This window comes from Homo sapiens, chromosome 22 (genome assembly GCF_000001405.40).
Source record: "Homo sapiens chromosome 22, GRCh38.p14 Primary Assembly".
Lineage (NCBI taxonomy): Eukaryota > Metazoa > Chordata > Mammalia > Primates > Hominidae > Homo > Homo sapiens.
Window position 1 is genome coordinate 45,968,332 of NC_000022.11, and position 20,627 is coordinate 45,988,958.

At 59.4% G+C, this 20,627-nt stretch overlaps 1 protein-coding gene across 2 annotated transcripts in view, besides 7 other annotated features; it reads right to left on the minus strand.

Annotated features, from left to right (window-relative positions):
* WNT7B (Wnt family member 7B) overlaps nt 1-8,831 on the minus strand; it is a 56,797-nt gene extending 47,966 nt beyond the window's left edge. Inside the window, exon 1 of one of the 2 annotated variants that reach the window (NM_058238.3) lies at nt 8,353-8,831. In NM_058238.3, coding sequence (NP_478679.1) covers nt 8,353-8,423 — 71 coding nt within the window. In that variant the 5' untranslated portion in view covers nt 8,424-8,831. Of the gene's footprint in view, nt 1-3,823; nt 4,211-8,352 lie in introns of those variants that run through there. The other variant, NM_001410806.1, reaches the window with a different exon arrangement.
* Nucleotides 245-1,444: an enhancer, noted in NCBI's record as "P300/CBP strongly-dependent group 1 enhancer chr22:46364456-46365655 (GRCh37/hg19 assembly coordinates)". NCBI's record gives its function as "activates an origin of replication core promoter dependent on BRD2, BRD4, P300/CBP, MED14 and CDK7 cofactors, with strong dependence on P300/CBP, by STARR-seq in HCT116 cells {active_cell/tissue: HCT116}" and the evidence as "EXISTENCE:reporter gene assay evidence [ECO:0000049][PMID:35650434]".
* Nucleotides 264-1,167: an enhancer, noted in NCBI's record as "H3K27ac-H3K4me1 hESC enhancer chr22:46364475-46365378 (GRCh37/hg19 assembly coordinates)". NCBI's record gives its function as "activates a minimal SCP1, AML or CMV promoter by ChIP-STARR-seq in primed H9 embryonic stem cells {active_cell/tissue: H9 hESC(primed)}" and the evidence as "EXISTENCE:reporter gene assay evidence [ECO:0000049][PMID:30033119]".
* Nucleotides 778-1,072: an enhancer, noted in NCBI's record as "tiled region #1865; HepG2 Activating non-DNase unmatched - State 20:ReprD, and K562 Activating non-DNase unmatched - State 10:DNaseD". NCBI's record gives its function as "activates a minimal TATA promoter and a strong SV40 promoter by Sharpr-MPRA in HepG2 and K562 cells {active_cell/tissue: HepG2 | K562}" and the evidence as "EXISTENCE:reporter gene assay evidence [ECO:0000049][PMID:27701403]".
* Nucleotides 10,204-10,353: a silencer, noted in NCBI's record as "silent region_13889". NCBI's record gives its function as "represses an Ori minimal core promoter by ATAC-STARR-seq in GM12878 lymphoblastoid cells {active_cell/tissue: GM12878}" and the evidence as "EXISTENCE:reporter gene assay evidence [ECO:0000049][PMID:35858748]".
* Nucleotides 10,434-11,003: a silencer, noted in NCBI's record as "silent region_13890". NCBI's record gives its function as "represses an Ori minimal core promoter by ATAC-STARR-seq in GM12878 lymphoblastoid cells {active_cell/tissue: GM12878}" and the evidence as "EXISTENCE:reporter gene assay evidence [ECO:0000049][PMID:35858748]".
* Nucleotides 18,529-19,029: an enhancer, noted in NCBI's record as "H3K4me1 hESC enhancer chr22:46382740-46383240 (GRCh37/hg19 assembly coordinates)". NCBI's record gives its function as "activates a minimal SCP1, AML or CMV promoter by ChIP-STARR-seq in primed H9 embryonic stem cells {active_cell/tissue: H9 hESC(primed)}" and the evidence as "EXISTENCE:reporter gene assay evidence [ECO:0000049][PMID:30033119]".
* Nucleotides 19,030-19,530: an enhancer, noted in NCBI's record as "H3K4me1 hESC enhancer chr22:46383241-46383741 (GRCh37/hg19 assembly coordinates)". NCBI's record gives its function as "activates a minimal SCP1, AML or CMV promoter by ChIP-STARR-seq in primed H9 embryonic stem cells {active_cell/tissue: H9 hESC(primed)}" and the evidence as "EXISTENCE:reporter gene assay evidence [ECO:0000049][PMID:30033119]".

Here is a 20,627-nt window from a genome sequence, read left to right on the forward strand (position 1 = left end):
ATGGCCTGTCTCCTGCACACCGACCACACCAGGCATCAAGCTAGAGCTTCCCACAGCCACCCGGTGAGGTTTGTGCTCCCGTGATCTGCACTGGAGAGGGAAGAGCTGGGCCTTGGGACACAGCCAGGCAGTGAGGGCCCTGTGGAGTCAGGATGAGGACCCAGATCTGAGTCACTATCATGCCCTTTGGCCTCACGGGAAACCATGTTAGAAAACGGCGCATTATCCTACAGGCCTCAGTGCACAACCGTGGAGTCCAGCGTCACCCCAGGACCTCCTGTCCTCCCTCTGCACACAGACGGTCCAGGATGCACATTCTCCCCTTTAGCCAATGGTTGTTGGGTCTCGTCCACCTGGTGATGAGTTCTGGGGAGTTTCCTGTGATTAGGGAGGCTCCACTTGCCCACCTCCAGTGGGGGGTCCCCAGTTGAGATCTCATCAGATTTCCCAGCTTGAACCCCACATGCACACCCTCTATGGAACGTTCTACACTTTCAAGTGCCAACTACACGTGGCCTGATCTGAGCCTTGGGAGAGGGATCACCATCCCAAGTGACCCATGAGGAGACTGAGGCCCAGAGAGGCTCATGGACCTGCTCAGGGCACACAGCAGAGCCCCTCCCAGACCTGGATAGACGCAGACCCTCCAGGCTGGGAGTTGCCCCTCCCCCAAGGGCAACCTGAACACGCCTGAGCCACGGGGCGCATCCTGTCCCCACACGGGCCATGGTGCCATGGGAGTAGGCCTGGTTCATCTCCTCCCCCTCGAGGGTCATGGCCACAGCACTTCTGGGACTGTGGCTGGCACCGCTGACAAAGCCACAGCGGTGGAGCCGGGAAGAGGCCTGGCCTGGCGGGGCCGTGGTAAGTGCCCCCCCACCCTGCCACAGCCAGGTGGTCGGTGAGTAACCGCCCCGTCACCCATGACTCACTTGGCTCCCCAGAGCAGGCGGTCACCATGACAGGCTCCTACCGGAAGACCTGGGGGGGTCGTCAGAGCCAACCCCCACATCTGGGAGAGGAAGACTGAGAGCGGAAGAGACCTGCCTGGGACAGAAGCGCAGCCTGGTCCTGGTCAAGGCCTCAGCCAGGCCCCCATTGCAGCTGACCCAGCACCACAAGCCTTCCTCTTGGCCTGCAGTCCCCTACCTGCCCTCCCTTGGGCCCTTACTGACCCCCGCTGGCCCTGGGAGCTCCTGCACTGACAACAGAGCTCTGCACAGAGAAGGCGAGGGCTGGCCAGAGCCGCCTAGCACGGCTGCAAGTCAGCATGTAGCAGGGGCGCAGGGCGCTTCCAGGCCAACACACCCGTCCAACCTGATCAGTGGCAGGGGCCCAGGCATGCGTCTGGGATTCGGTGTGCACCGACCACAGCCCAGGACAGGGAGCTAGAGGAGCAGTCCAGATGAAAGGGGGAGGATCAGCTGTCAGCCAGCGTCTGGGATCCCAGCAATGGGATCTGGAAAGCTCCTGAAAGTTCTCTGGAGCAGAATGAAGCCTCCACCCAGCGACCCTCCTAGCCCAGGCATCCTCAGATCCAAAGGCCAATGCCATCGAGTGCGCCTGCAGTGCTGAGGGTCGGCTGACACTCACCCCCACCTCTCACAGCTCTCCAAGCACTTGCTGCTGGCTGCCTCCCCCAAGTGCAGCCATCGGGTCAGAGACATCGAAACCAAGGTCTTCTCACTTTGCATGCTTTCATTCAAACCGAATCGCGCAGGCCCTACTCCCATCTATGGTCAGCCTTGCGCCCACCAAACAAACCGGGCAAGGGAAATCTGAGACCCACCCCCCTCACTCCGGGAACGTGTCTGGGTTCCTCTCCGCTTGGGGAAGGCTGGCGTCAGCGTCTTCCTCCCTGTGGGGCAGGAGCTACTGAGGGCAAGTCAGGGATGCAGTCTGCCTTCCTGTCCCCGACGACCCAGGCCAGACCCCAGCACTGGCCCAGGGATGCCTGGAAAAACTGTTTCCTTAGGAGAATTTCTGCCAACACAGCTGGGCAGTGCACACTCCAGGAGCAAGCCTGGCGGGGGTAGTCACTGCAGGCCCGGATGAGGGGCCAGCCCTGAGGTAAACCCGGGGTCTGCAGAGGTACACTGGGCACCACCTTGCCCCAGAGGCCCCTCACTGCTGCCTTGGCATCAACTCCCACCAGGCTTCTGGGGCCCCTGCGCACCTCCCTCTCTCCGACCCTTACCCCAACCCCCAACCCCCCCACTTCCCTTGCCTCCACCTCCGCAGGACTCCTGGTCTCCCACCCCGGACACCTCTCTATGAACACCGAACCTCAGCCAGCCGGCTCCAAAACTGATTTCCCAAGCACCGGAGCTGCCAATTCTCTAGCAAGGCCTAAGGCTGAAACGCCAGGATTCTGGGGAGGGGGAGGCTTCCTGGCCTCCAACCGCTAGACGCTGAAATTCCAAAGTCCCCTGGTTGATCCAGTTCCTGGAAAGGACACCAGAAGCAGGACCCAGGGACCCTGGCACTTTATCAGCCTGGGTCCCCACTGCTCAGGCGGTCCCCACCCGCATGCGCCCTGCTGCCCCGCCCCCCTCAGGCGATGCCTCCGCAGCCGGGGCTGCCCGCCGGGCCTGGAGCGCTCTCTGTGCCCGGACCTTGTAATTATGTCCCACAGCCCGGGAAACCGCGGGCCTCGCAGCATCTGGCTGCGGTTGCGAACTTTTGTTTCAAGATGCGCGACTATTTATAGAAGGAAAACTGGTAGGATAGTAATTTCCTAGGAGCAAGAGGAGAAATTGGCTGCGTCTTTATTAAATGGGGGTGGGGGCGAGGCGATGTATTAGGACTGCAACCGCATGGGGGGAGGGGGTGGCGCAGGGAGCGGGAAGGCAGCGGCTGCCCCCTCTGGCCGCGTCAGGCGACCCCGGACGTGGCCCGCGTGTAAAGGAGGGGGAGGGGGAAGGGAAGAGAAGGGGAGGGAGAGCAGGCTCTGAGGTTTAATCAGTAGCATCCAGCTTAAATTCCCCCAAACGGCGGTTCCATAAATGAAACTTCTTTTTAAGTCAGAGGCCAGAGCATATGCGTCCCATTAGGAATTCGGCGAAGCCACCACTGCGCGCCCCCTGGGCTCACTGGGCTGGACTCGGCCCTGCCCGGAGCTTCTCAGAGCCCCGTGGGCTCTGCCTTGCCGGGCACACACACGCGCGCCCACGCTCCGCGCTCTCCCTTGGCCGAGACAACTGGGCGAACGCGGCCGCCAGCACGCAATGCGCGTCCTCCTCGCCCCCAGGTGAGGACTCGGCAGGGGCAGGGATCAGGCTACCCAGCGCGGCAGGAAGGCGCGAGAAGCCGCAGCGACTTCGGGGTACAGTCCGGGCGCTGTCCGGTGAAGCGCGGCGTGCACGTGCATGCCGGTGTTTGCACGAGGGAGCGGGTGTGTGAGTGCGGCTCTCCCAAGTGTGGCATGGTATTGCGCGCCGCGTGGGTTAATATGGGGAGGGGTCCCCCGCTGGTCCAGGACTCTGCTGGGACGCGCAGGGAATCTCGGCGCCGCTCGCGTGCCCGCGGGCCCTCGCGCTGGGCGTGCACAGCCTGCTCTACTCCCGCAGTCGAGCCGCTCTCAGGCCATCCTTTCTTTGACCCCAGAGCCAGGACTTCTCACTGCCGTAGCTGCCCGCCAAGTGCTCCACCTCGGCAGCTTAGGCTGGCGAGGCGACCTAAAGTCCCCCGGCTCCCGCGCGCGACGGTCACCCGGTGCCCCGCCCAGGGGCCTCGCTGCCGCGTTCCCTGCCCGCCCGGTTCCAGCGCTGGAGGCCCGGGGGGAGCCCACCCGCCCACCCCGCACGCCGCCCGCGGCACTCACAAGTAGCTGCCGCTGGACAGGAGGAGAAAGATCTGCGGGCAATAGACGGAGACGAGCGCGCTGCGCGGCGACAGTAGAAGCATGGTGGGCCGGCGTGCCTGGCGGGGCTGAACAGGCTCCGCGGGCCGGGCGCCTGGGCCAGCTGAGGCCGGGGTCCCCGCGGAGCTCCCCGATGCAGGGCGGCGGCGCTGGGCGCTAGGGGCCGGGTCTCGTGGGCCCGGGCGCAGTTGTCGCCCGTGCCCCGCCGCTAGGGCCGCGCATGGCGCTGGGTCTGGGGCAGCGGCGGGAGCTGGGGCTGGAGTGCGGGGCGGGGACCCGGCCGGGGGCAGCGGGCGCGCCTTGGCTGCGGTCTGGACCTCCGTCCGTCTGTCGGTGCGAACCGGCTCTGTCGCTCGCTCTGGCTCACTTCTCCAAGTCTCCCGAGGCGCGCAGCTGCCATTGGACGGGCCGCCCCTACATCCGCCTCCTCCCCCGGCGGGTTTTTTTAAAGGGGAGGCTGACCGGAGCGTGCGGTGGGAGCCGCCTCCAGGGCTTGCCCAAGTTGCCTTGGCTGGGACACCCGTACCCCCACCTTTAGGGAGCCACACAGCTCTGGCCTGGCTCCAGAAGGTGCACGTGGGGGCGGCTCCCCGGGGGAACTGCGCGGAGGCTTGTGCTCCTCTTGGGGGGCTGTGCTCGGCAACGTATGCGCGTGTGTGCATGCATGTGCCTACATGTGCCTGTGTGTGCCTGCGGGAGCGTGGGCAGTCTGTGAGGACAGGTGTGTGTGCACAGATGCATTGAGTGTCCTGAGCCTCTGCCCCCGTGTGCCCTGGGTTTAGGGAGGCTGGCTGTGGGTCGCACACAGGCACTGCCATGGCTAACCAGGCCCAGCCTTGTGCTGGTGCTGAGCTTGCACGACCCTGCCTGGGCACCTCTTTGGAGAGGCCGCCAGTGGGAAGGCATCGCCAGCAGGTGCTGCTCTCCTCACACAGAGGCTTCCCCACTCTGGCTTCCCCATCCTGCTTCTTTTGCTCTCCTTTGAGCGGTTGGCGGGGATGGGTTTGTGGAGAAGTAGACCTACAAAGACGTTCTCCCTCCTCGAGTTCCTTTTATTTTTTGTTTAAGCCCAGAAACATAGGTCTAGTGTCCCACCTCCTGTCGTTAGCCAATTCTGGTTCCACATGACCATCCCTTTACATCTGAATCACAGCACAAAGCAGGAAGATGGCAAGACAAGGGAAGGCTGGGCGGTCTGGCCCGTCGTCCTGAGGAAGAGGATTTTCTAACTTCTAGACCTGGTGTGGAGGCTCATCATCCAGGAGGAAGCAGCCACTTCCTCCACCTTCATCCCCCCTAGTCCAGGGCTCTCGGGCCCCTCTGCTTCTGGCCCCAAAGGCAGGGACAGGCTTTCGGCAGGGCTGGTCCTAGAACTGCAGCGACTCCAGTTCCAGTGAGCAGAGAGTGTCCAGACTCCAGACGGGCTCCTCTGAGTTCTGCTTTGGCCTCCTCCAAGGCTGGAGCTGAAGGCCGCTCAGTCCAAAAAGGGCCCTGGGTGAGAAACTGACTCCCTGAAGCCATCAGGTTTTCAAATTGCTCCAAATCCCAGGTGCATTTGTTCTTAGGGCCCTGACCCCTAAGGGCATTGTGAGGGCTGAGTTCTGGTTCCAGCTGGTACTGGAGTCCTCCAGGGGTTGTACATGTGAGTTGCACCAGGCTTAGGGGCACATGTGTGTGATGGCTGCACGTGCCCAGGTGGCCCCCCGTGTAATTAAACACAGGCAGCATGCAGGGAAGTGATCACGTAATACCCCATCCATGCATACAACCTCTGATCTTTGGTCAGAACTTTATGACCCTGAAAATCCCAGCTCCTGGGATGCAGATGCCCTGGAATACACCATCTGGAGGAGTCCCCAGGGTGTCAGCCTCAGTGACATCACAGTCATTAACAATAAGAAAGATTCTCCTGGTATCTACAGGTGTTCATTGGGACACATATCTCCAGCACCCACAGGGCAAAGGCCCTCAGGAGTAACACAGGCAGCACGCAGTGAAGGGGGTGTTGTGACCCCATTTTTTGGATGAAGAAAGGGAGGCTGAGAGGTTAAAGGGCTCACTCAAGGCCACAGGCTAGGAGTGACAGGAGGACAGAACAGACAGCCCATTGGTCCCAGACTCCCCAACCTCCTCCTTAATGCAATGGGCTTCCAGGTCATTTAACCCCTGACGACACACCTGGGCCCAGCTTCCCCCTTCTACCGCTGCGCGTAGCCAAGATGGCTTGCAAAGAAAGCAGGGCCCTTCTCTCCATTCCTGGCGGGCAGGGGCTGAGCCTCGAGGGAGGGATTGGCTCTCCTTCCCTTAGCAGATCCCAGGGTAGATCTCTGGCTTTCCTGCTTGCCATTCCACAGGGTGTTCGGAGGTCACATTTTGGAAATCCAGGAGGTGGGTGGGGAGTGTGTGTTTTAGATTGGCTCACCAGGGGGAGGAGTTTCCCCTCCAGGGGCCCTGGGTGGGGCCTGAGGGCAGAGCCAGGGCCACACAGAAGGAAGCTCAGCCACTGCTTCACTCTTACCCCCTCCCAGAGGGAGGCTGACACAGGTGCCCGGGGCTCAGGCTGGGCTACACGGAGGCCCGGTGGGGTCTTGCTCACTCAGACCTCTCTCAGACACTGGCCACCATCCTGTTCAGGATGGCCAGAGCTGCAATCCCTGTTTACAGAAGGGACCAGGAGGCTTGGGAAGGGCATACAGACCTCAAGCCCTGGAAGCAGCCCCAGGAGCCGGGCTAGGGTGGACCGTCAGCTCCTTCTGCTGTCTATGGGGGTTCCTAGAGGTCTTCCCACCCACTCACTCGTGGGAGGAAGGGCTGCTTTCCGATGACTGAGGCAGAAGAATGGACGCTAGGAACAGCAGCCCACAGTGGGGGGTCAGAGCCAACTGCAGCCCCAGCTCTGTCACTGAATTCTGAGGACAGTGACTTAGGTCCTGTGCCCAGTTTCCTAATCCTTGAATCCGGGAGAGTAAAAGCACCTAACTACTCTAGGGGTGCCAGGAGGGGGAAGGCCTCAGCGCTGAGAATCAGGCTGCAGGGACAAAGCCTCATTAAGGGTTGCCATCACTTTGAGGGGCCCAGCGGGAGTCACTGCAGGACTGCTGAAGATGCAGGAAAAGAGCAGCCTGCCCACTCCACCCCCCGCCCAGCAGGCTCAATGCCCCGCACCCCTCACCTCCATAAACAAACACCCAGGGACACAGCCTACCCACAGACCTATGATAAACGGGGCTACCGGCAGCCGCAGACACGCCCGCCCAGACCTGCAGGGCTCAGGCTAGGACGGGGGCTTCCAGTCCTGCCTCTGAAGCCACTGGCTTTGTCTCTGCAGGCCTTGGGCCTCAGTTTCTCCACCTGTAAAATGGCGGGGCAGACATGGGATGGAGGGTGATGGAGAGACGATTCCCAGCGCCTGCTTCCACCTCTCCGCCTGGGAAGCCGCGTCTCCCACCAGTGGTACCTGCACCTGCCCCTCCCGCGGGTCTGTTCACCGCCTTGCCTGTGGCCTGGACGGGGCTCGCCTCGGGGCAGCCGGCGGCGCACAGTAGGCGCGCAGGGCGCGGCGGGGCCCGGGTCCCCGCAGGTGCGAGGAGCGCGGGGCCAGCAGCGGGCGGTGGGCGCCCCAGGCGAGGTGCACCGCACCCCCTCTCCGTCACGCCGTTTCTCCACCCCCACTTCGAGCGAAGCCGAGACAGATTCTGTCTAAAGGAGATCGCGGCTCAACAGGTAAGGACTCGGCTGGGTTCAGGAATGTGGAAATACGACTCGGAGCAGCTACCGCAGAGAGCAGCTAGCGCGGCTCGCCGGGCGCCCGCCCGCCGGGCCGCGCCAGGGGGAGCGCGGCGAGAGGGGGCCGGGCCCAGGGCCCAGGGCCCCGGGCGGGCGGGGCACGGGCCCCGGACCGAGCCCGAGGCGGCCCGGCCGGCCCCACGGCCCATCCCGAGCCAGCCGGACGAGTTGTCAAGGTAATTTCAACACGTCTGGGTGATGGATAGAGACGAAGGGCCGCGGCGGGTGCCCCGGCCTGCGCGCTCGCGGCCGGGTGCGCGCCCCCCGCCCTCCCGGGCCTCCGCAGGCGCCGGACGCCCCCCGACCCCGCCCCGGCGCACCCTCCAGGCGGCGAGCGCTCGGCCCGGGCTCGGCGCCCAGCGCAGCCCGGGGGAGGGAAGGCGCGTCCCACCCCCGGGGCCTGGAGCCCAAACAGGTGAAAGTACGCGCCGGGCACGCTCGCCGCTACCCGCGAGCCCGGCCGGACCGCCCGCGCGCCCCGCTCTCTCTCCTCCCGCGCTGGGCTCGGCGCCTCTCGGGAGCTCAGGGGGTTGGGCTGCGTCTCTGCTGGCGTGGGGCGAGGGTCTGACACACGGGCCAGCCCCGGAGCCCAGAGAGCTGCAGTGGCCCCCTCCAGTCCCCACGTCCCCACGGGGACGCCCCGGAGGCAGCTCCTTCGTGCTGTCTTGGCCCCTGGCTGCTGCCCTCGCCCACGGGGTACTCACCCGAGCTTCACGTACAGGACGCCAAAGCAGAGAAACACGTAGAAAATCCACTTGCGAAAGTTTCTGTGCATGATCCAGGGAGGGGGGCTGCGCCATAGACAGCGGCGGCCGGAGGGGACGCGCGGGCCCGGCAGGGCCGGGCAGGGGCCAGGGGGCTGCGGGCAGACTGCGCTCAGCCCGCGCTGCGGCTCGGGCGGCCGGCGACGCGCGGGCACTCGGCGCGCGCTGCCACCATGGTGAGCCCGGGATGCCGCCGCCGCCACCGCCGCGTGAGCCCGGGGAATTGACCCAGGCTGGGGGCCGCGACCTCGAAGCCCGGTTGAGCGACCGTGGACCCCTGCAAGCGCGGGCCGGGGGCCCGGGCGCGGCTGGCGGGCGGGTGCAGCCTGCACTAGGCGCAGCCGCCTGAGGCCGTGAGCGCCTCGCCGAGCGCCGCGGCGGCCAATGTGTCCGCACTTGTCGGCCGCCCCAGGTGACTCGCGGCCCCGGCAAGCGAGCCGCGAGCGAGCGAGCGCGCCCCAGGTAGGAGGATCCGCCTCCCGCCCGCCCTCCTCGCTCGCCGCGCGCTCTCTCCCTCGCTCCCTGGCTCTCCCCTCCCTTTTCTCCTCCCTCCCCCGTGACACACAAACGCATCTACCCCCCGGCCCCCCCTCCCCAGGCCAGCTCCCTTCCGATTGCCCTCCGGGGACTGGGCGGGGGAAGAGGGCTTGGGTGACGAGTGGTGGGGGTGCGGGGAGGGTGCGGCTCGGAAGAGACACCTGCGCTCCTCCGCGCACGCGGGGGTAGGGGCGGGGGTACAGGTGGGGGCGGGAAACTACTGGTACAGGTCGCGGTGCCACTTGGCTTCCAGTTTCCGGTGGGGGAGGGAGAGACCACCCACTCCCATTGCCTCTCCGAGTGCACTTCCCTGACCCCCAAAAATTATCCGCATGGGGTACTCTGGGGCCATCCTTTTAGTCCAGGCATCGCTGCCACTCCAGCAAACCTCAATGGGAGATTCCCACAACCCCAGGTCCCAGCACTGCTGCCACCTGCGCTAGCCCAGCTTTGGGACCTGAAAGATGACAGACGGGCTAACCTGGCCACATGCAGGGAGATGGCATGCGTGACCTCCTGCAGAACCCATTGGCCAAGCGCCGTGATGGAGGCCTGTGGAAGGAGGTTGAGGGGCTTCCCCGGCACTGGGGGAGGCTCCTGGCCCCCAGAGTCCCTGCCCCTGCGCCATGGTTTTCGTGGCTTCCTCTGCAGCGCCCAGCTGTGTTCAGTTTCCCTGAGGAGAGCCCGAAGTCAGATTGACTCGGTGCCGCGCACACCCAAAGCCCATCTAGCCTGATTCGGCTAGCCTGATTCAGGGCGAACGAGCGCCAGAGTCCCGCAGACCCTGCTGCGCCAAGCCTGGTCTGTCCTCAGTGGGCAAGACCCAGACCCACAGCCAGATCGCTGTCCAGGCCAGGCTCCCTGCCTGCTCTGTGCTTTCTCAGCCCTGGATGGCTCCCGGTGCTGCAGGCGGATGGGACAGGGAAGAGCTCAGTCCCCGAGGACCAGCAGGGACTGCGGCCACCAAGGCGAGAGTCTGTGTATGCATCCGGCTGCCCTGTCCCACCTGGCCAAGCCTGGGTAGGGACCTCGAGCTCAGAGCCTGCCTCCCCTGCCCGCCGCAGTCCCGCCAGACCCCCGCCCCTGATCCCTTCTTAATCCCTCCAAATCCCTGAACCTTTGCCACGACCCCGGTGCAGGTCATTCCTGGGCCCCTCGATCTGAGGCCCCCGGTGCCGCCGAGCCCCGTGCGCCGATGGGGAGGGTTCCCAGATAAAAGGGACATTGGGGATCAGCACACACAGGGGAACCGAGACACAGGAAAAAGTGAAATGGCAATAGCAGCTCCACCCCTGGGTGGCCCCTGCTCCCCAGAGCCCCACTCTAGGGCAGCCACCCCCATTTCACGGCCTGGAAGCTGGACGCGGGGAGCAGGAGGGTCTGGCCTGGCCCTCGCAGCCAGTGGCGGGCGCGGGCGCGGGCGCAGCTCGGGCGCGGGCGGATGCTGCCACCCGGCGGCGGCACTGAGGGAGCTGGGACTCAGGCGCGCAGGGGCTGGAGGTGGCGGGCGGCGGAGCCACGCCAGGCCCCGGGGCCATGAGGCAGGAACCCCATCCCCTCCCGGAGCCCGGGACCCTGTCCCCACTGCCGCCAGCCTCAGTCTCGGCGCCCTTTAATTGGGCGGATCGCCAGGAGCTGTCGGGCTGTGGCGGAGCTGGAACCACAAGGACTGCACCGGCGGCCTCCCTGCGGCGGGTCTGGGCGCTTGAGCCCCGACCCAGCCGCGCCAACCTCCACCCGATCTTCTTCCGGCCCGAGGTGGGGTCGGCTCTGGGACCGGCCGGGCGGGGTTCATCCGGGAGAGGAGGGGGTTACGGTCGGTGGGCGGGATGCCCGGGTTCGTTCGCAGCCTCGGCTGCGTCTCAGTGCCTCGGTTTCCCCGGGAGAGCGGGAGGCGGAGCCGCGCCTCGGAGCGCAGAGGGACCGCGGCGTGGTGCTGCCCCCTGTCGGCCGCGGGGAGAGCCGGCGTGCGGAGAAGGGCGCGGAGAAGGGCGGGGCTGAGCGGGGTCCGGGCTGCTCTCAACCCAGCGAGTCGCTCCCACCACGGGGTCCGGTTTCTCCGTCGTGGTCTCCGAAGGTCTTTGAATGGCTCCAAGGTTGGGGAAATGTGGGGTGGGAGGAGCTCACAGCCCACGCGCACACAGCACACATACACCACACTCAAACAACACACATACACCACACACAAACACAACACACACCACACACACACACACGACACACACACGCACACACGACACAAAACACACATACACCACACACAACACACTCCACTCAAAAACACACCACACACCACACACAACACACACACATACACCACACACAAACACAACACAGACCACGCACACCACACACACACAAAACACACGACACAAAACACACATACACCACACACAACACACTCCACACAAAAACACACCACACACAACACACACAACACACACCACACACAACACACACACACCACAAACACACAATACACAAATCACACAACACATGCAACACACATAACACACACAACCCAGAAACATACACCACACAACACACACCACACAAACACCACACATACCATACACACAGCACATACCAGAAATCACACAAACACACAACACTCGACACACCACACAAACGCAACACACAACACAACACACACTACACACACAGCACACAAACACAGCACACACAACACACAAACACAACCCACAACACACAGCCACCATATAACACACACACAACACATACAAAACACAATACACACCCAACACACAACACAACACACATACACCACACGCAAACACAACACAACAGACACATGCAATGCAATACACACAACACACTATGCACAAACACATCACACACAACACACACCACACACATCACAAACACAAAAAACACAACTCACACAACGCACATAACACATCACACACACATTAGACATAACACACATGAACACACCACACCACACACACAACACACACATAGCACACCACCCACAACACATACACAGCACACACACACCATACAGACACACCACACATACACAACACAAATACACACACAACACACCACACACACAACACATGAACACCACACACACAACACAACGCATACACGCCACATTCATACACCATGCACCCATACCACACCACACTCACACCACACACAGGCAGCAGGAGTCCCCAGGGCAACAGGGCAGCTGTGTCTGAGCCTCCACCCAGCTGGGACTCCAAAGGCTGGTCCCAGGCCTCAGAGGTCTGCATGACCACAGGCAGGTCCACTGTCCCCCCATATGGGATCATGGCTCTGATCATCTCGAATGTGAGGGTGGCCGGGATCCAGGCCCAAGGGTCCCCACGCCTGTTGTGGGTAGGGGGTGATTGAGTGGGCGGAGGTGGAGCCTATGCTTCTGCTGGGAGTGGAAGCCTCTCTGGTTCCCAGTCAGCATGGAGAACTGTCAAGGCCTGATGTCTCCAAAGTCAGGACACCCTGGGGCCCCAGATGGTCACCTCTGGGCTCCATGGAACTCAGCTACTTCTTACCTGTGTGTGCTATGTGTTTCTGTGTTGTGTGTTTTGTGTGTGGTGTGTGTGTGGTGTGTGTGGCGTGTGTTGTTTGTGTGGCGTGTGTTGTTTGTGTGGTGTGTGTGTGGTGTGTGTTTGTGTGTTGTGTGTTGTGTGGGTGTGTGTGCATATGTGGTGTGTGTGTTTGTGTGTGTTGTGTGTTGTGTTTGTGTGTTGTGTTTGTGTGTTGTAAGTTTGTGTGCTGTGTATGTGTTGTGTGTGGTGTGTATGGTGTGTGTGCATGTGTCATGTGTGCATGTGTGTGGTGTGTGTGTGTGTGGTGTGTGTTGTGTGTGGCGTATGTTTGTGTGTGACCGCAGGTAGAACTGTCAATGTCCCCAGCCTGGGCATAGTAATCATGAGCCCACACTCCATGGGGTTCTTCTGACAGGGGAATGAGTTAACTCAAAAATGATTGACCAGCCGGGCACAGGGGCTCATGCCTGTAATCCCAGCACTTTGGGAGGCCCAGGTGGGCAGATCACGAGGTCAGGAGATCAAGACCATCCTGGCTAACACAGTGAAACCCCATCTCTACTAAGAACACAAAATATTAGCCGGGCGTGGTGGCAGACACCTGTAGTCCCAGCTACTCGGGAGTCTGAGGCAGGAGAATGGCGTGAACCCGGGAGGCGGAGCTTGCAGTGAGCTGAGATCCAGCCACTGCACTCCAGCCTGGGCGACAGAGCAAGACTCTGTCTCAAAAAAAAAAAAAAAAAAAAAAAGATTAACCTGGCCAGGCGTGGTGGCTCATGCCTGTAATCCCAGCACTTTGGGAAGCCGAGGCGGGCAGATCACCTGAGGTCGGGAGTTCAAGACCAGCCTGACAAACATGGTCTTTAGTAGAGACCAGTCTCTACTAAAAATACAAAATTAGCTGGGCATGGTGGCACATGCCTGTAATCCCAGCTACTTGGGAGGCTGAGGCAGGAGAATCGCTTGAACCTGGGAGGCTGAGGTTGCGGTGAGCTGAGATCACGCCATTGCACTCCAGCCTGGGCAACAAGAGCAAAATTCCGTCTCAAAAAAAAAAAAAAAAAGATTAACCTAAAAACAAGTACAGTGCCCAGTGCACACGGGCCTTCAATCAGTGCATGTTCTATGTCCTGACCCTACAGGCCTGTGCCAGGCAGAGCTTAGGTTGTGGCCCAAAAAGACAAGCCAGGTGCCTGATCCCACTGCCAGACCACCTCCCTCCACTAGCCCCACAGTTCCCAGAGAAGGCTGAGAGGAGCTGACTGTGGGGTGGCCATAAGTAGGACCAGTCCCTAATTGCATGGGGCGTTGGGGCAAGCATCCATGTGCCCTGCCCAGGTCTCCTTGAAGTGCAGGAGTGTAGGGGAGAAGCCCACCACACCTCCCTCCGCCAGGCCCATGGTGGACTCACAGGCGCCCTGGGGCCTCTTTCTTTTCTCTGGGCAGCAAGGACTCCGGACTTTCTTTTTAAGCAGCTGCCTCTATTGGGTCTGCCTTCTCTGAACATGGAGGGTTTCTGGAGGAGGTGACCTGCAAGAAGCTGAGATCCGGAAGAGCATGGCCCCTGTGGGGAGAGACAAGTTCCGTGTGGCTGGAGTGGAGGCAGAGCCTTGGTTGGCCACACAAGGATCCTGGGCTGGACCTTGAGCACGGTGTGAGCCATGAACTGGTTCCATACAGGGGAGCAACAGGGTCAGGTTTCCAATTTAGACAGCCCATGTGCCCATGACACCACATTGGCCCTTGGCCAGGGTCCTCCTCTGTGTCTTGCAGGTTAGACATCTTAAGGCCAGTGCCACATCTGACTTATCCCCACGTTCCCAGCATCTAGAACAGAGGTGAGGGTTTGGTGAGAGTGAAAGATGGATGGATGAATATGTGTAATACTGGGAGGATGGATGGATGGATGCATGGACGGACAGATGGATGTTTAATACAGGATGGATGGATGGATGGATGGATGGATGGATGGATGGACGGACAGATGGATGTTTAATACAGGATGGTTGGATGGATGGATGGATGGATGGACGGACAGATGGATGTTTAATACAGGATGGATGGATGGATGGATGGATGGATGGATGGATGGACAGATGGATGTTTAATACAGGATGGTTGGATGGATGGATGGATGGATGGATGGATGGACGGACAGATGGATGTTTAATACAGGATGGATGGATGGATGGATGGATGGATGGATGGACGGACGGACAGATGGATGTTTAATACAGGATGGTTGGATGGATGGATGGATGGATGGACGGACAGATGGATGTTTAATACAGGATGGATGGATGGATGGATGGATGGATGGATGGATGGATGGATTTGCTGTGGGAGGAGAGAGCACACCCCCTACCTTCACCCTGCTCCATGTGGACCAGTGTGGGCTGTAATGATGGAATCAGGTCTGGGTGTGGTTTTCCTGAGATGTTCCCAGTTTTAGCCCTGGAAGTTCCACATCTCAGGAACCCCTCAGTACTGGGAGAACAGGGATGGTCGGTCACCCTAGATCTAAGATTATAAAAGGAAAGATGACTTCATCTTCAGTATTTTCCTGGGTACAAACAGTTTCTCTGGTGCCCTGGCAAGGGGCTTCTGGACTGGTCACACTGGGATGTGTTTTGTGTGGGAACGGGACTGTTAAAAGCGATTTAAATAATAGTAACAGCTCCCATTTAGTGAACAGCTGCTGTGCCAGGCCTGTCCCAGCTGCTGGATCCCCCTGAGTCCTTGTGAGCTTACAAAGCAGGGCCTGTCCGCACCCTCGTGCTCTGGGTTCATTTGTCCTCCCACTGGAGAGGCATTTCTGAGCACCCGTGATGTTCCAGTCTGGAGTGAGGTCCTGGGATGTGGAGAGAACACGTCCCCACTTTGGGGGCTGGCAGGCTGGAGGGGGAGGTAAGGACACCGAGGTCACAAGATAAGGGCCTGGGGCCCGAGCCCAGCACTCGCACCTGTGAGTGCACATGTAACCCAGCCTCTTCCCCAGGGGCTGCCTGCAGGGTGTGTTTGTGTCACTGTCACCAGAGTTGGAAGCTTGATTCCTTCACTACAAAGCCTCATCCCAGTTTCCCAAGATGGAATTCGAGAAGCTGCCCTCACTTCCTCATCCTTTCTGCTTCCCACACAGAATACACTCACAAGGCCTTCGGCCCTCATTCCAAAACAGATCCTGCTCCTACCCTCCCACCTCCACCACTGCTACCTACAGGTCTGAGTCCACCCAGAAGATGAAATAGGCCCCAGCTGCTCCTCTGCGTCCTCTCCTGACCTTCTGCAGTGCATCTTCCAGCCGGCAGCTGGAGGAGTTTTCGATAAATGCAAGCCAAATCAGGCCACTTCTCCTGCTTAAACCTTCTATGGCTCCCCATTGCTCTCTGAATAAATTCAAAGTCCCGATCTGGCCTGCAGCCTGGCATCTTCTGGCCCCTGCCTGTTCCTCAGTCTCATCATGTAAATGAGCCCGCTTCTTTCTCCTCTCCATTCTCCATGTTGTTCCTTCTGTTACTTGAACAAGTCCAGGGTGGTTCCTGCCCCAGGACTTTTGTATGTGCTCTCTTTTAGCACAGGGCTCTTCCTCTGGTTTTATGCAGCCTCAGCTTAAATGTCCCACATCAGAGGGGGCCCACACTCCTCCCCACAAACATACTCTCTGATAATTGCTACAATAACACTTGCTGTTCCCTTGGTGACACTGAGGACACTATGTCATTATTTTTTCCTGTCTGTCTCCCACCAGTACATGAGCTCCACAGGAGTCATTGCAACACCTGCTTTGGTTACTGCTCTATCCCCAAGACATAAGACAGAACCTGGCATGTAGTCAGTGCTCAATTAAGCAACTATTGAATGAATGAATGAATGAATGAATGAATGAATGAATGAATTATTTTCTAGGAAGCAGCTGGCATACATAACCAGCATTGCTATAAGCTGGAGAGGGCAGAGACCTGACCTGGACTTTTTTGAACTTGACTTTGAGCCCAACTCAGCATGTCCAGTGTCACTCCATTCTTGCTGCCCTACCCCGGCTGCCTTCTTGCATCTTATGACTGGTGTGACTGACAAGCATTTCCTGAACCCCAGCAATTCCTGCTTGGGTGACACTGAACGTGTATTGGTTCCTCTAGATAAGGAGCAGGTGCTTGTTTGTTGCACCTGGCACAGTCTTGTGAAATGGTGCTACTGGACTCATTGTGTAGATGAGGAAACTGAGGTACAGAAGGAAGTGCTTGAAGTCACACAGATGGTGGAGCTGGGATTTGAACCCATGCTTGTCAGGCTCAGAGCTTGAGCTCCTTCCACCGCATGGCCCAGCCTCCTGGAGTGGGGACTATGGGGTAAGGTGTTCACAATTTGCTGCCAGGACCCCCAGTCCTATGGCAAGAGGACATGAGGTCATGAGGAGCTCATGATGTCACTGGGCACACTCCAGCAGGACCAAGGCAGGTGCAGGGGGCCTGGAAGGGAATCAAGGCATGGTGGACAGAATCCTAAACCACCCCAAGATGTCCTGCCCTAGTCCCAGAACCATGAGTATGAACCGACGTCACACCCATGGTTTTGTTGTCGTCTGTGGCAAAAGATGTAATTAAGGTTGCTAATCAGTTGCTGTGATGGTTAAGTGTCAACCTGATTGGATTGAAGGATGCGAAGTATTGTTTCTGGGTGTGGCCAGAGGAGATTAACATTTGAGTCAGTGGACAGAGGGGAACACCCACTCTCAGGAAGACCCACCCACAGTGTGCATGGGCACCATCAAATGGGCTGCCAGTGCAGCTAGAAAAAGCAGGAAGAAGAAAGTGGAAGAAGCTGGCTTGCTGAGTCTTCCAGCCTTCGTCTATCTCCCGTGCTGGATGCTTCCTGCCCTTGAAGATCAGACTCTAAGTTCTTCGGCTTTTGGACTCTTGAACTTACACAAGCAGTTTGCCAGGGGGTCTCAGGCTGGAGACTGAAGGCTGCACTGTTGGCTTCCCTACTTTTGAGGTTTTGAGACTCCAACTGATCTACCACTGGCTTTCTTGCTCCTCAACTTGCAGACGGCCTATCGTGGGGCTTCACCTTGTGATCATCTGACTCAATTCTCCTTAATAAACTACCTTTCTTATATACATACATCCTATTAGTTCTGTCCCTCTAGAGAACCCTGACTAATACAGTTGCCTTTGAGTTCGTCAAACAGAGATTTTTCCCAGTGAGCCTGGCCCCATCACGCAAGCCCTTTCCAGGCGCAGTTTTTACTGACTTGTGGCCAAAGGGCCATTCAGAGGGCTGTGAAGCATGAGAAGCCCTGTCATCGCTAGCTTCGGAGATGGAGGGGCCTTGAAGTGAGGAATGTAGGAGCTCTCTGAGCTGAGAGTGGCCCCTGGCTGACAGCTGACCAGGAAATGGGCACCTCAGTCCTACAGCCACAGGGAACTGAATTCTACCAACAGCCCAAATGAGCTTGGAAGAGGATCCCTTCCAAAGCCTCCAGATAAGATCCAGCCCTGGGATGCCTTGATTGCAGCCTTGGGAGACCCTGAGCAGTGCAGGCATCCACGCCAGGCTGGAGTTCTTAAGTACAGAACTGTGAGCTAATAAATAGATGTGGTTGTAAGCCGCTCAGTTCGTAGTAATATATACACACTATAAAACAAACACAGGAGGGCTTGGCCATGTGGCGATGGGGAGCAGAAGTTGAAATGATGGAGCCCTGTGAGCAATGGCTCCTGGAGGCCCAGCAGGTTATGGAGCAGAGGAAAGGGGGAGGCAAGGGCACACGCACAGACAGCCGGAGTGCCAGGCTAAGGAGCAGGACGTTACTTATGGTCACTGGGGAGCTACTGAAGATTTTGAGAGAGGGGGGCACCAGAGGTGGGCCCTGGATGGAGTGTCCCCAGCTTGCCTGACCAGCCAATTTTTAGCATTACCACAGGCCCACTTCTCCGAAATATCTCAGGGAAGGGGCTAGGAATCTGAATGTTTAATCAACACCCAGGTGGCTCCAGAGATCAAGCACAATTGGCAAATGATAGTTCTGGCAAACGTGTAAACTGCAGAAAGTTCCGTGGGAAGGTCCACACCCCAAGTCCTCTCAGTGTACACCCTGAGCCCCTAGGGGGTTCCCAGCCCTTGCCAAGGGAGGTGGAGGGCTCCTAGGGGAGAAGCAGTCCCTCCCAGGAGGGACAGAGTCCCCACTGGGGATGGGGAGCAGGGGCCACCTGGGGAGGAGGCTGCGGGCGTCAGATGATTTCCAGCAGGAGCCTGTGTGTGCCCACCAGGACCCCTCATCCAGAGAAGGGCAGACAGAGCTCTGGCATTTCTGGAGGGAGAATGAGGAGCCCCCAAAGGCAAATCCAGGAGCTTGACCCAATTCAGGGCAGAAGCTAAGGGATATCCAAGAGCCCAGGGAGCAGAAGGAGGGGGTGAGCACCAGTGACGGCAGTGGCTGCTCCAAGATGGCCTCCCACTGCCATCACACAGACTGCAGCAGGGAGGCATGGCCAGGGCCGCATACTCCATGGAGCAGGCCGGAGCCCCACCCTCCTAGGTGGGGCTGCAGCCGCCCAAATTGTGGCTGCAGATCTGAGCATCCCTGTGCTCTTGGGACAGGAGCAGGCAAGAGCCCTACCCTCCCAGGCACAGCTGCAGCCACCAAAACTGTAGCTGCAGACTCAGGAATTTCTGCACTCAGGGACCTGGGAAGGCCCCCACTGCCCTTGCAGGCTTGGAAGTGCCTGTTCCCACTGCCTGGCTTTTCCCTGCCGTCAGTGCCTGCTTTGATCTCAAAGCAAAGTCAGGGCCAAGCCCTGGTGCCATGAATGGCAGCAGGAGGCAGGCACATTCCTGGGAGGAAGGGGACGGGTCCCCCGTGAGGCTCCACCTTTAGGGCCAGGGAGGGCCTGAAGGCTGGAGGCTGGGCTTCCAGTCCCACCAACCTGAATGGGAATTTGTGGTGCCTTTTCTGGGCCTGCCCATGGCTACCCATGGACCAATCTGCATGCACTTTCTCCCCTCTGAGGCCCATAAAAACCCTGGGCTCAGCCAGAGCTGAGCAGATTACAAGTTGATCAGCTGCTGAGAGGAGCTACCCTCTCTGCTGAGAGCTTCAGAGACCTGAGGAGATGTCAGAATAACCTGCCTGCAGAGAGGCACTACCCTCTCTGGGGCTTCCTCTCTGCGGAGAGCTGAACACTCGATGGGACAACCTGCCTAGAAAGAGGAGCTACCCACTGCAGGTCTCCTCTGAGCTGTTCTAATACTCAATAAAGCTCCTCTTTGTCTTGCTTACCCTCTACTTGTCTGCATACCTCATTCTTCCTGGATGCAGGACAAAAACTCAGGCAAAGACGCCACTGGTCACAGAGGTTTCCAGCTAAAAAGACGACACCCAAAAGATCCTGTAACACCAGGAGCTAGCATGGGTTCACTGGGAATGAAATGTGTAGGCTCCCTGTGACTTCTGACCTCTGTGAGGGTCATGAACCCAGGAGGTGAGGCATTTGACAGGGAGGCTCGGGACTGCCTCATAGACAAACTCACATCACATCTTCTATGTTAAAACAAATGCTCTGTGTCTCTAACAAAAGTCCTCTCCAGGACCAGGAGAGCTGAGGTCAGGCTGCCCAGCACATCCAGCTGCACCTTGACCAAAACTCCAGGCTGCCTGAGCCTGGCAGTCAGCCGAGAGAGGAGGTGATGAGGGCCAGGTGTGCTGAGTGAGGCTGAGGCAGGGGCGAGCCCCCATCTCTGCAGATGAGGATCTGGAGTCCAGGTGAGGCCTGGTCTGCGCTTGTCCATGAACCCCTTCCTCGGTAGGAGAGCCAAGGACCTGAGTCTGGAGAGGGATGCTCCTGGCCCTCCCTGACCCCAACATACAATCACTCCTCGCCTGTGGCAACCGACCAGCACCGCCCTGATGGGGCAGCTCCAGGACCCTGGCTAAGCTGGGTTTGCTGGTGGGCAAAAGCAATGTGCCCTGGGCAGTCCTTTACCTCCTCCTTCCATGAGGGTCACTTTGACCTCCACCCTGCACTGATGACTGCTGGTGGAAGATCCAGGTTTGAGCTTTGAGGGAGGAGGAGGGAAGGCCCTTTCCAGTGCCTCCCACCACAGAATGAAGAGTCCTTTGATTTCCTGCTTGAGTCCCCC